This window comes from Homo sapiens, chromosome 17 (genome assembly GCF_000001405.40).
Source record: "Homo sapiens chromosome 17, GRCh38.p14 Primary Assembly".
In the NCBI taxonomy this organism is placed as follows: domain Eukaryota; kingdom Metazoa; phylum Chordata; class Mammalia; order Primates; family Hominidae; genus Homo; species Homo sapiens.
The window spans coordinates 34,433,845-34,446,169 of NC_000017.11; the positions used below are offsets into that span (position 1 = coordinate 34,433,845).

At 50.7% G+C, this 12,325-nt stretch overlaps 2 annotated features.

Moving 5' to 3' along the window:
• Positions 10,124–10,623: an enhancer, noted in NCBI's record as "H3K4me1 hESC enhancer chr17:32770987-32771486 (GRCh37/hg19 assembly coordinates)". NCBI's record gives its function as "activates a minimal SCP1, AML or CMV promoter by ChIP-STARR-seq in primed H9 embryonic stem cells {active_cell/tissue: H9 hESC(primed)}" and the evidence as "EXISTENCE:reporter gene assay evidence [ECO:0000049][PMID:30033119]".
• Positions 11,027–11,527: an enhancer, noted in NCBI's record as "H3K4me1 hESC enhancer chr17:32771890-32772390 (GRCh37/hg19 assembly coordinates)". NCBI's record gives its function as "activates a minimal SCP1, AML or CMV promoter by ChIP-STARR-seq in naive H9 embryonic stem cells {active_cell/tissue: H9 hESC(naive)}" and the evidence as "EXISTENCE:reporter gene assay evidence [ECO:0000049][PMID:30033119]".

Below are 12,325 nucleotides of genomic sequence, written 5' to 3' on the forward strand. Positions count from 1 at the left end.
CTTTGGATTTTTTCATGGGTCATTATTCTTGGTCTTCCCAAGTTGCAAACAAGCTATTTTTCCATGACAATTTTCTTTTCTTTCACAGGTTTCTGATAAGACCCAACATTCTAAGTCACTGGTTGCTAGCTTTCCAGGAATAACTACTTCTTGGCAAACATTAGTTAAGTTTTGGATTAAGGTTAAGCTGCTTTCTGTTGGGTTCCGCATGTGTGTCTTAGCTTTAGACAGGCAAACACCTAGTTCTCCATTCCCACGATTCTTATTGATCTATGCTATTTTTCACCATGATCCAGGTTGCTGTTCATAAGCGTGGTCAGCATACCTTCCTGGAGAAAAGCACACAGTGGGAGCCAATGGTATGAGGAAGGAAGTTGCCTTAGAGTTTACAAAAGTCCAGCTGTCACAGAATGATCTGATTGCTGAGTCAGAAGGGATGTGAAACTCTCTAGGTCTTTCTGGGCCCATGAAAAAGAAGCTTCTGAACTGAGAAAGTGGACCCGGTGTGCTCTAGAAGAGGTCAGGCTTCTGTGTGCTCCATCCCTTGCTCCACTGGCCGCAGGAGTCCAGCAAGTCACTTAACTTGAGTAACCTTGGTGTTAGCACCTCTAACAAAACACAATACCACCCGCCTCTTGGGCCATGTGAGCATGCAATGGAGTTGCACACAGGCTCACTGACACTGGCCTGGTCCCAGCATGGGCTCCTTTCTTTCCTTCCCTGTTCTCTTGATTCCAGGGGAGGCTGCCCAGGCAGAGCAACCTTGGAGAAGAGAGACTTGTTAATGGCTCAAGGCCAACATCTAGACAAAGATGGGGAAGAGTCAAGAGTATCATGAGTGGCTTGTCCCTGGGTCTGCCTCGCTTGTCACCAGGCTCTGTAGCACTGAGTTGGTTGCACATACCTGCCTCCTATGCTGAGGTTCTCCTGTGATGCAGGGAGGTCCCTGCACTAACTGCATGAACTTGGGTCAGGATGGTGCCCTCCTGCTTACACACAGGGGCTCCTGCAGGGCAGATGTTACCATCATCCACACTGCATACAGAGAGGAGCAGAGAGGTCTGGAATTGGCCCAAAGTCACCAGCTGACACCTGAGAGACTCCACATTCAAAACCAGGGTTGTCCTTATCCCATGCACTTCCTGTGTCACCACCACCTAGGAAAGGAGAATCTACGAGAGAGAAATGACCTGGTGGGGAGAGCCCTGTCCCCAAGGTTGCAGGCCAAGGAGAGAAACCTCTGAAGTGTTCAATGTGTCCCCAGGTTGAATGTGGGGACAGGGTGGGGGAGGAGTTCCTTGGGGAGGGTGCTATTTAGGTGTAGAATCAGACATAAGAGGAGGTTGAGATGTCAGGGAAATGATGAAGGGTGAAGAATGGAAGTCAGAATCTTTATCACCACCACTTTCTCTCCTCCCTCTCTCCACTTCCTCTCCCTGTTTCTGTGTCTCCCCTTCTTCCTCCTTCCATCTCCTACCTCCTTTCCCTCTTCCCCCCCTTGCCCTTCCTGCTCCCTCTCTTCCCACAAGCAACCCACACACGCTCCTCCACAGCTCTTCCTCCACCCTCCTCTGCATGGCCTCCTCCTCCTGCTCACCCCTTGGCCCCAGAGAGCATTCTGCCACCTTCCATTCCTTCTGTCATCTTATCTCTTCTAATAATTGCACATTTCCTTGAGACAAATTCGAAGGCCAAGGAGAGATAAAATGACTTCTCAGTCAGTAACCCCCCGAGCAAGTTTCTCTAAAGTATGCTTTCTTGACAAACTAGCAGGCCTTGTGTTCTTTGTGATTTCAAAAGAAAGTAATGCCACTTGTCCTCAGTGGTTACAGAATTAATCCATTAGTCATCACTGAGTGCCAATTATGTGCTTGACACTGAGCAGGGCACTTTACCTCTACAGTGGCATTTAATCCTTCCAGTAATCCAGGAAGCCTCCCTCCCCTCATTATACAGGAGAAAAAACGAGGTGCAGAGAAGTTAAGTGATGTGCCCAGCGTCACAAAACAAGCAAGTAATAGAGACAAACATAGAAGCAGTTAATTAAAAAGAAGTTTCTACACGCTATCATTGAGCTGCCTACAAGGCATCCAGCCAGGACCTTGGATATGAGCAACAGAAGCATTCTAGTTCACTTAAGCAAAAGGAAACTTCTTGATAATCTATCTAAGGCTCAAAAGAATCTGCAGGAAGCCTGGAGAGTCCAGCCTGGACATGGGTGGGAACCAGGGCCACTTGGAAGGCCAGGTATGAAAACAGGGAAATCAAGACCTCTTTGTCCTGGGCCCTGTGCTGTGGGGACATGAGCTCCCTGTATTTCAGAAGCTTGATGCCTCCTTCCTAACTCCAGAAGACAGCTATGCTTGTTCACTTGCTGTCCTTTTGGTGATAGAATCACAGGCTCCAGGTTATCATCCTATCAGATTGTAGCTGATGGGGAAGAAGTAACTCCCCAACAAATTTCTACCAGAAGGGTGACACAGAGAAGAGAGCATCAAGTAGCTTGGGGCAGGGAGACACAGATGACAGCAGGCTTTACAGAACAGCAAGTCTTAAACCAAGGCTGCAAAGGGGAGCCATGGAATCCTAATGACAGCTCACTGGGAGGGCACACACATTCTAAAAAAGCTGAGCTGAGCCTGCCCCACGCTTTAGCACATTCCCTCCTCCCAGTAACCTGTTGAGACAGGGACTGTTAGCACCCCATTGTAGAGGGAAGGAAACTGAGGTGCAGAAAGCTGAAGTTTCTTACCCAAGACCCCACAGGTATAAGTGGCTGAGCTGGAATTCAGTCCAGGCCTGGCTGACTCCAGAATCTAAGCACTTAACTGCTCTGCTAGCAAATATTGCCTCACTATAACAGAGCATTACACATGTCAAAGTGCTCTAAGATCCATTATCTCAGTTCACACTGCAACCCTGCAAAGTAGATAGGGCAGGTGTGATGATGCACATTTCCCAGCCGAGCAAATGGGGCCCAGAGATGCTAAGCGACCTACAGAAGGTCACACAGCTGGTGAATGAGAGAGCCTGCCCTGCCACCTCCTGGCTCAGCACCCTCCTTGCTGCTAATATACTCCAGAGGACTCTGAGTGCCCAGTTGAAGAGAGGATCAGAGTCAGGACAAGAAAGAGACATTCATTTCTAGATTCTGGTATTTAATTCCCAGGCAGGCCACCTGACCCTTCGCCCTGAGAAGGCACCCAAGTGCCATCAAGCGCCTGGTGCCCTGCCGCCTCAAGGTCTGGGCACGATTAAACAAAAACGAGGGATTGTTGCCTAACAAATTAGCAACAGGTAAAAGCAATCAAGCCATCTGTTGCCTCCCGCCGCTGCTGCCTAATCCCCTTTCTCGGCGGTGACCCCCGCTCTGCGCTCAAACACAAATTAATAAACTGGCCTTTGCATATGTATTTGTGGCTTCAGGTGTGGAGAGAGCCACATGAGCAGGTGGTGGGAATGCAGTTGCTGAAGATGCTCTGCTCATGCAAATGTCCTTAGGTAGGGAGGGAAGTCTGCTGAAGGGCAATGGGACAGGGTCAGCTGACAGAGAGGATGAGCCCTGAGTGGCCAGTGAAGGTGGGGCTTACGGGTTAGCTCTCTGTTCCACGTGGGAAGTGTCTCTATGCCTTGCTCATCCCTCTGAGGTCTTGCATCGCTGGTCCCATTCTCCATATTAAAAACACTGAGGCCAAGAGAGGCTATATGATCATCCCAGGGACAGCGGAAGGCATGGACAAAGGCAGAAGTGAGCCCCAGGCCCCCCATGATGGCCAGCTTTCCTAGGAGCTGGTCTTAGGCCACCTCCCAGAGTCTCAGTTTCCTCACTGCAAGTTTCTAAGATATGTAAGTGCATCAGCAATGCTTAATTGGACTTGACCAGAATTAATATTAATCGTGACTAGTATTTATTTCACCTTCTCACCATCCTTAGAAAGTAGATGTTACTATGCCCACTTTACAAATGCAGAAACTGAGATTCCAGAGCTGTTAATTGCAATTATTTGTTAATTGGTACTTACTGTGGTCTAGGCTGGGCTCAGGCTAACAGTAGGCACTTGGATGCAAAGATGTACAGGGAAGGCCTTATTCCTGTCCTCACAGCACTGACAAAGTCAGTTACAAGTGCTTTGGATTAAATTAAATAATGGGGGGGGGGTGGGCACAGATAGGTGGGTCAGGGCTATGCAGCCTCTCTGAGGCCCAAAGGATGAAAAGGAACCAAGCAGACAAGAAGAGGGCAAGGGCATTCCAGGAAGAGGAAACAGCATGTCAGAGGCCCTGAGAAGGGAAAGGATATGGTGTCTGGGGTCAGTGTGCTGGTGCCCAGAGCAAGAAAAAGGTTGAGCTCGTGGTTAGACCCAGATCAGACAGGGCCTGGCCAGCCCTAGTGGAAGCTCTGGATTTTCTCCTGTGTGTAGCAGGAGGAGGGCCACCTGATCAGTTAGACACCAAAGACAGGCTCCCTTCACTGCGCCACGCTGTCCCCTCACAGGGCTGCTCCTGCAGGAGTAAAGGAAACTAGTGGTCACCTCCTTGGAAAGCCTTCTCATAGCCCCAGATTGGACCAGAGTGAGGACCCTGGAAGTTCCTAGACTAGGGTTTTCTTCTCCTGGTCACACAGGAGCCACACAGAGCTAGGACATTGTCTTTCCCATTTTAAAATCCCATGTTACTCCGGATAAGGACAGCAAAGGAGGAAAGGAACCTTTTCTGGGCCACCAGAAGGATGAGCTTGGGCTTGGGAGACACATCTCTAAGCATCCAGAAATGTGTCTGGGAGTGGGGACGGCAGAGCTCCCATGCTGTGATCTCACAGGGGGACAGGGCTGGGAAGTCCCTTTTAACTTCTGACATCCCAGTCCAGGTAGTGGCAAAGATCTGGGCTCTGGAGTACCCCCCATTCCTTGCTGTGTGACCTGGGGCCTTTCCAAACTCTGTGTGCCTTTGTTTCCCCACTTGTAAAATGGACAGTCTCCCTCAAAGAGCGTTGGGGAATAGAAAACAGCTGCAGGCACCGAGCCGGATGTCTGCACTGAGTAGGTGCTGAGCGACATTAGCATTAACCTCCATCTGCTTCCAGGCTGCCCCTCTTTTAGCCAGTCAGCATCAAACCTACAACTCCTATTGTCCCAGAGCCTTGCTGCATCTGAAGTTTCAAATCCCTTGTTAAAAATAAGCTTCAAAACAAGCCAGAAGAGGAGGTGGGAAAGGAAAATAAGAGAAGGAGAGAGGTGGAAGGAGCTTTGCTCACCTGAAGCCAGACCTCTAATTCTGCTGGTGGCCAGGGACAGCCCTGCCGCCAGTTTCTCTCACAAATCAAAGGGCTGTGGAGTAATCAACTGCAAAGTGCTGAGTTCTTTGAGGGTAGAAGCCAGAAAGGATGTGCTTGTCCTTCTCAGCTCACAGGAGTGCCTTGAGGAGATGGGCTGGGCGGGCCTGTAACTGGAGTTGGAGGGGAGAGGAGGGTGGTCAAGCTGGAGAAAGGGAGGAGAGTTGAGACCAACACTGGCTGTGCAGTCAGACCTGATCCTCCTCCTGTGATTCTGGCCAGTTACCCACTTCCTTAAGGCTGTGTTGTCTTATCTGTGAAATGGATCGATAGCAGCTGCCTGGCAGGCTTGTTGGGAGGAGGGTATTGAATACCAGATTCAGAGCCCTGTACCCTGGGTGTGGCACACAGTAGGTGCAGCACACAAGAGGTGCTCCGTGAGTGTTGCTTCTCATTCATTCACCCCTCTCTGCAGGGAAAGGGGAGGACTGGAGTGGGCTCAAGTGTCCAAATGCCAGGCTTGCCATCTCCCCACCCCATTGAGCTGTCTTCCCTCATGTGTTCCTTAGAAGCATCTTCCTAGTCTTAGGGTGTGAAGTTGCATGTCTAGGCTCCTACGCCATTATTCCCCTCCTTTCTCTCTCTTTTTTTTTTTTTTTTGAGACAGAGTCTCGCTCTGTCACCCAAGCTGGAGTGCAGTGGCGCGATCTCAGCTCACTGCAAGCTCTGCCTCCCAGGTTCACGCCATTCTCCTGCCTCAGCATCCTGAGTAGCTGGGACTACAGGCACCTGCCACCACGCCTGGCTAATTTTTTGTATTTGTAGTAGAGACAGGGTTTCACCATGTTAGCCAGGATGGTCTCGATCTCCTGAGCTTGTGATCCGCCCACCTCGGCCTCCCAAAGTGCTGGGATTACAGGCGTGAGCCACCGCACCATGCTCCCTTTCTCTTTTTATTCTGTCCCCACGGCCCTCCCCACTGCCTTTCTCCTGAGCTGACCCAGCCCCCTCCTAATAGGCTTCACTGCCCCCAGCCTCTGAGCTGCCCCCAGGCCCACTGAGCACACGACTGCAGATCCACCACCCTGAGGCCCAGGTCTGCTTTCCCCTGGCCTCGGCACCAGGCTCAGGCACACTCCCCATCACAATGGCTCCACTTGGCAGCCAAAGCCAGCCACTCTCTGGGTGCTGCTGGCCTTATGGAATGACCATCACAGCACCTGGCACCAGCTGGCACCCAACCAACCGTCAACAGCCCTCACCGCACAACCCCCTCTACCCGCTCTCAGCACTGCCATTCCCAACGCTCACCATACCCGATCCTGCCTCTTTATTTTTGCTCATGCAAAAACCCAACATCCTTCAGCAATCAGCTAAAATGCTCTCTCCCTCCAGAATCCCCCCAGAATATTCTCTCCCTCACACTGTGCAGAATTTGGGCTCCTTATTCTAGCACTCATCAAAGTCTACTTAGAATAGGGCCATTTGCATAGATGGGTAATTTGCTAAGTCTGCATTTAAGTTTGTACTACATGGAACAGGATGTTAGCTCTGAGGTGCCAATGAGATAGATACCTGGAAACAAAGTGAGTGTGAGTTGGGGCTACTCCAGGGCAGTCAGGGGATGGGGTAACATGAATTGTCAAGGGTGTGGTGATGCTGTGGGACAGAAGGAAGTGTGTGGGTATGTGCACACCAGTCTGCATATGTGCACTGGGGACTTCACACACACAGAGCTCCTTGCAGTCCTAAGTGAGCATTCAGGCCTCATTCTCTCTCTCTCTCTCTTCTCTCTCTCTCTCACACACACACAAACACACACACACACACACTGCACATATAATGCAAAGACATCTTGTAGATCTTCACATTCTTAAACCTCATGATTGGTACAAATTAAACAAATATTGAAAGAAACTCCAGCAGAGCTCTCCAAGCCTCAGTCCTGCTGGGTATACCAAAACACCTCCAGCAGCTGAACAGCACAATGATAAGGAATGACAATATGTTTTACCCTTTCTGGAGTGCTGTTCACAAGCAGCTCTTAGATCCTTGCGATCTGCTCCCATCTTTAGGGAGGAGGCCTGAGGGCACAGTCTGTTTGAGGCAGAGCTGGTGTTCAAAGTCCCTCTTGGGATTCTGACTCCCAAGCTCTACGGGCAGAAGCTGTGGAAGGCTTTATATCATCAGGTACTGCATCTCCTTGGGACTCTCTCCACAAGCAGAGTTCCTCCAAGCCTCACGGATCTACGCCTCCTTCTTCTATGAGACAAGAAACTGGAATTTTCCATGTGAGCTAAGTAATGAGGGCATGAGCATGCACATCCTCCCTTGAGGTTCAGCTTAGACACAACTTCCCCCAGGAAATCTCTCCTACAACTCTCCCCTCATCCCCAGGCTCCAGTATGTTCCCATAGCACCAAATCTTGGCAGGTAGTATAGTGGCCTGTTTGCAGGTCCGTCATCTGGATCCTGCAGCAGCCTTTGAGCCCTAACCACAGGGACAGGGTCTCATTCACCTATGGGTCCAGGTCCTGGCATATCTTAGACTTTAACAAAGCCTTACTGAACATATGGTTGGATGGATGACTGGATGGACAGATGGATGGAGGGATGGATGGATGGATGGATGGATGGATGGATGGACAGATGGACAGATGGATGGATGGATGACCCAGGATGCAAATGAACTCTATGCACAGCTACAGCTATAGAAGCAAGGCTCAATCACTTGCGGGTGTATGGGGAGAGGAGGAGGAGGGAGAGGGAACGAGAGCCGGCCTTTGTCCTCATCTCTTCCACCCGGCAATTTTCCCAAGGAAGCATGAGTTAGTCTTCTAAGGAAAGTAGAGGGGATGTGAATAGAGAAGGAAACCCCACTACCTTCAGTGGGGTCCAAGAAGGCAGCTCAGCCCTCAATCCTAGATGCCTCCTGAGCCCAGAGATCAGTCTTTAGATAAGAAAGTGAGTGTTCTCTGTCACTGCCCCTGCCAGGGGGAGAGAGGCCCCTCCTATACCTGCTCCTAGTACACTCTGCACCCATTACCAGTTTCCCTGGCTGAAAATCTCAAGAGATTTTTCCTCAAGTACTTGTATCTACAGGAGTTTAAGAAATGATCATGCAGAGAATTGTCATCCCCGACTCCTCTGCAAACCCTACAGAGGCTTGGAAAAGTTCATCTTCCCCAGACTCCCAACATTCTCTTTTCTGTGGCCAGTAGCCAACCATGAGCGAGTTCATTAATATTAATGTTAATAATCTCCTACATTTGCTTCACGCTTTCCTGCTTACAAAGCACTTTCAGATCCATCATCTCAGACAATCCTCAACACCAGCCTGAGAGGTCAGCGGGGCAGTGATTACCATCCCCATTTCACTGAGGAGGGAACAAAGGTCCGGGAAGAGAAGGGATCAGCCCAAGGTCACAGAGCAGCCAGGACTGGAGAGAGCTCAGGGCAGAGTCCAGGTGTCCTGACCCCCAGGCCAGCGCTGGGTTACTCCACCTCCATGCTGACAACCCCTTTCCTTCTCTGCCTCATCAATGTCACCATTGGCGTCATCTCCTGGTTCTCAGTCATTAAAAAGATAGGCTTAAAATAAATACAAGAGGCAGGCTTTAGCCATCTGCTAAAATGGGTAAAACGACCTGCCAGCAATTTGCTGGATGACCTTGGGCTAGACAGTTTCCTATCTGGGCCTGCAATTCCTTGTGTTTCAAGTGACAGTGCTGGCCTCTTCTCCTCCGGCCCTACCCACTGTGACGGGAGGCTGCTGGAACCTAAGGGTGCCACCCTTGGTGCCAGACTGGGGCTGGCAGCAATCATGCCTCTGCGATCCCCTCCTCAGCACTCTGGAGTGGGAGGGATAGACACCTGTCATGAGCCTGTGACAGCCAAAGGATGGAGCTATAAAGCAACAGAGGACTGGCAAGAACCCTCCTGAGCGTGGGGGTGGAGCTAATCACAATTGCTACAGTGTAGCTACTCTATGACAAGTGCTTTATGCATGTTATTGACATGCCTCAAAATAGTTCTACCAGACAGCAATTAGCAATTATTTTCATTTTAAAGATGAGACACTCCAAGCTCAGAGAGGTTTCTTGACACGCCCAAACTCACACAGCAAACAGCAGAGGCAAGTTCCAAACCCAGATCTGCTCTGATTTCTCAGTCCCAAATGCTAGAAGGTGGAGTGGGAGGGGTGCACGTGGAACCCCCTAAGTTCACCCTTCCTCCATTTTCTTTCTCCCAACCTCTCTCCCCTCCCTTCTCCTCTCTTCCTCCCTCCCTTTCCCTGGAGTCACAGTCCCAGGCTGGGTCTCCTCTGCTGCACCAGCTCGCCCTGTCATCTCAGCACAGGCGGAGATTTATGGATCTCACTTCAAGGATTTTTCTTTAATAATAACATTTATAATCATTTTAGAAATTAAGAACTGAGGATGCAAAGCATTTTAATTAAAATAATCCGCAGTTGATAATTATAGGACTCTCTTAGCTGGAACCATCTTCTTTCAATCTGTCACACTCCCTAAGGAAGGCAGGAGATAATCGTGAGGCAGTGAGCTGGTGAGCCAGCCCTGGTACCTGTGTGTGATACCGTGTGTCCCAGGGGTCATTCTCAGAGGCTGCCTGCTAGGGAGGTCGGCTTCGGGGTGAGCTGGGCTGGCATCATCTTTAGAGTTGGTCCCCTGTGAGCCATGCAAGGCTGGCTTTTCACAGGAGGATAAGCCCTTCCAGAGCCTCCTCCCCACCCCTACGACACAGTCTTCTGCTGGTTACCCCTGTGGGCTCAGAGGGTCTGAGACCCAAGACACAGAGGAACGTAGAACCCTCGCTCGGCCAATGCCCTCCTGCTAATGCCCCCAAATTCCCTGCCTCTCTGCCCCAGCCCCAACCTCACCCTCACCCCAGGTGCAGTTCTGCCCTCTGTGGTCAGGAGAGGGCAGCCAAGGCCACCAAATGCAGACAGAGTCCCTGAAGAATGGGCCTGCTTATTGGACTTAGAGAAGGACAAGAGAGGAGCCCCGGCTTGGGGAGGTGGGATATGAACAAGCCAAAGTGACCCCACTCGATGCCTACCACTGAGACACCTCTGCTCAGCTCTGGCCCCACCAACAGAGAATGACACAGATATCTCTTCCCTTCGAAGGTCACATTCCAGCAGAGACAATAAACATGTAAATTAATGGTAACAGAAAGTGATTCATGCCCAAAATGAAGCTGCAGCAGTGAGGGTCCCAAGAGTCTTCAGGTCTGTGTGTGGGGTCATCAGGGAAGGCTTCACTGAGGAGGCAATGCCTTGGCAGGGTTGTGAAGGATGAATAGGAGCCCACCCCGGCTCAGTGACAATCTTGACCACTAGGATTTCTTGACTGTTTAGCATGTGCCACACACTGTGTTGGTCTGTTGTCACATCTCATTCAAGCTTCACAACATGCCTGAAAGATAGACTTTATTATCAGCACCTTTGTTTTTCTCTAGATAAAGAGACAGACTTGGAGAGGTTGGATCATGCACTCCAGGTCACATAGTAAATAAGAGGCAGAGGTAGGCATTGAACCCCAACCCATCAGTGCCAACCCCTGTGCTTATCCTGTGCGACGTGGGGCCCTCCAGGATAACAGATTTGTCTAGGAAGACTTATCCCCCACAGAGGAAATGTGTACAAGGCTGCAGGGCCCAAAGCGAGTGACAGCAGCTGGTAAGAGAGGAGGCAGGGGTGACAGCTAGGTGTGTCCTGCCAGAAGACCAGTTTGGGGAAAGCTTAACTGAGTGACTGTCCCTTTCTGGGTCTTAGTTTCCCCATCAATAAGTGTAGGGTGGGGCTGTCTCCAGGGACTCTGATTGTAATTGATAACAAATAATGGCATTTGGATTGGTTGGGACTGCTTTAGAGAGCTCAGAGGGTCTTCAGATTTCTGGGCCCACTGTAGCATCCCAAGCTCTGGGCAGAGTGCCTCTCCCCTGCCCCAACACTCATCCTGGGAGAGAGGGGGTGCACAGGGAAGGTGCTCCTCACCAGGGCTCCACCCCAAATCCATTAAGGGCAAAAATGTAATCGGGAAGGAGATTCTGACAGTGGCTTGAAAGTGACCTCACTCGGGCTGATGAATGCCTCCGTTTCCTCGTGGAAAACATGCGGGACATGAGCCGGCCAGCCAGGAGAGGATTGGACACCTCCAGCAGGAAGTGGCAGCTGTCCCGCCACTGAGGCCAGACCTGTCCCTCCACCCTCTGCAGTCCAAGCAGCTTCCGTCCCCACCCCCACTGGAGCCTCCCCAAGCAGTGGACAAGACCGGAAAATGATTATATAGGCTCACTCATGGATAAAATTGGTTCTTGGTCTGAGAAGCCACAAAGGGGAGATCCAAGATGAGCACCATGGAGGTCCTGGGGCTGGCACGCTGGCAGCGAGGCAGCAGGAGTGGAAGTCTGTGCCACGCTGGCCCAGGACACACCATCAGGGCCACCCTTCTATCCCAGTAATCACAGCTTAGGCAGCAGCCCCAATCCCCTGATAAGCACCTTCTCTGCACCCTCAAGAGGGCAGAAATTGGCTGGGAATACTGAGAAGAAATTTGGGCCTCCCAGACCCAGGGTTTCTGGGGAACAGCTCTGCCAGGGTTGAGCAATCTAGGGAGGATATGCTAGTTTTGCGAGGCTCCAGGCTGCAGATAAGGCTAGATTAAGTGAGGGTTTGAAGGAGGGGCGTACTCAATGAGCCCACCTTCTAAACACTGCCCAGCAAAGCACAACCTTCCCACTACTTCCTAAATAGTGGCTTCTCTGGATGCTAGCTGGCCTCTTCAGATGAGGAATTTCCCTCCCATTCTGGGCCCTCCCCTTCAGAGAACACTGGAGCCCAAGGTGCTTTCAGTAACAAGTTTCATTGCAGCTAAAAATAATGGAGCGACCCATATCTCATTTCCTGCATTCTGTAACGACAAGTGCCCCAAAAGGGGCAGTGGCTGGGGATTAGCAAAAATTCAAGGCAACTGGAAAATATTTAGATACAATAAAATATGTGCATTCAAAAGAAAGCTAAGAAAAGGC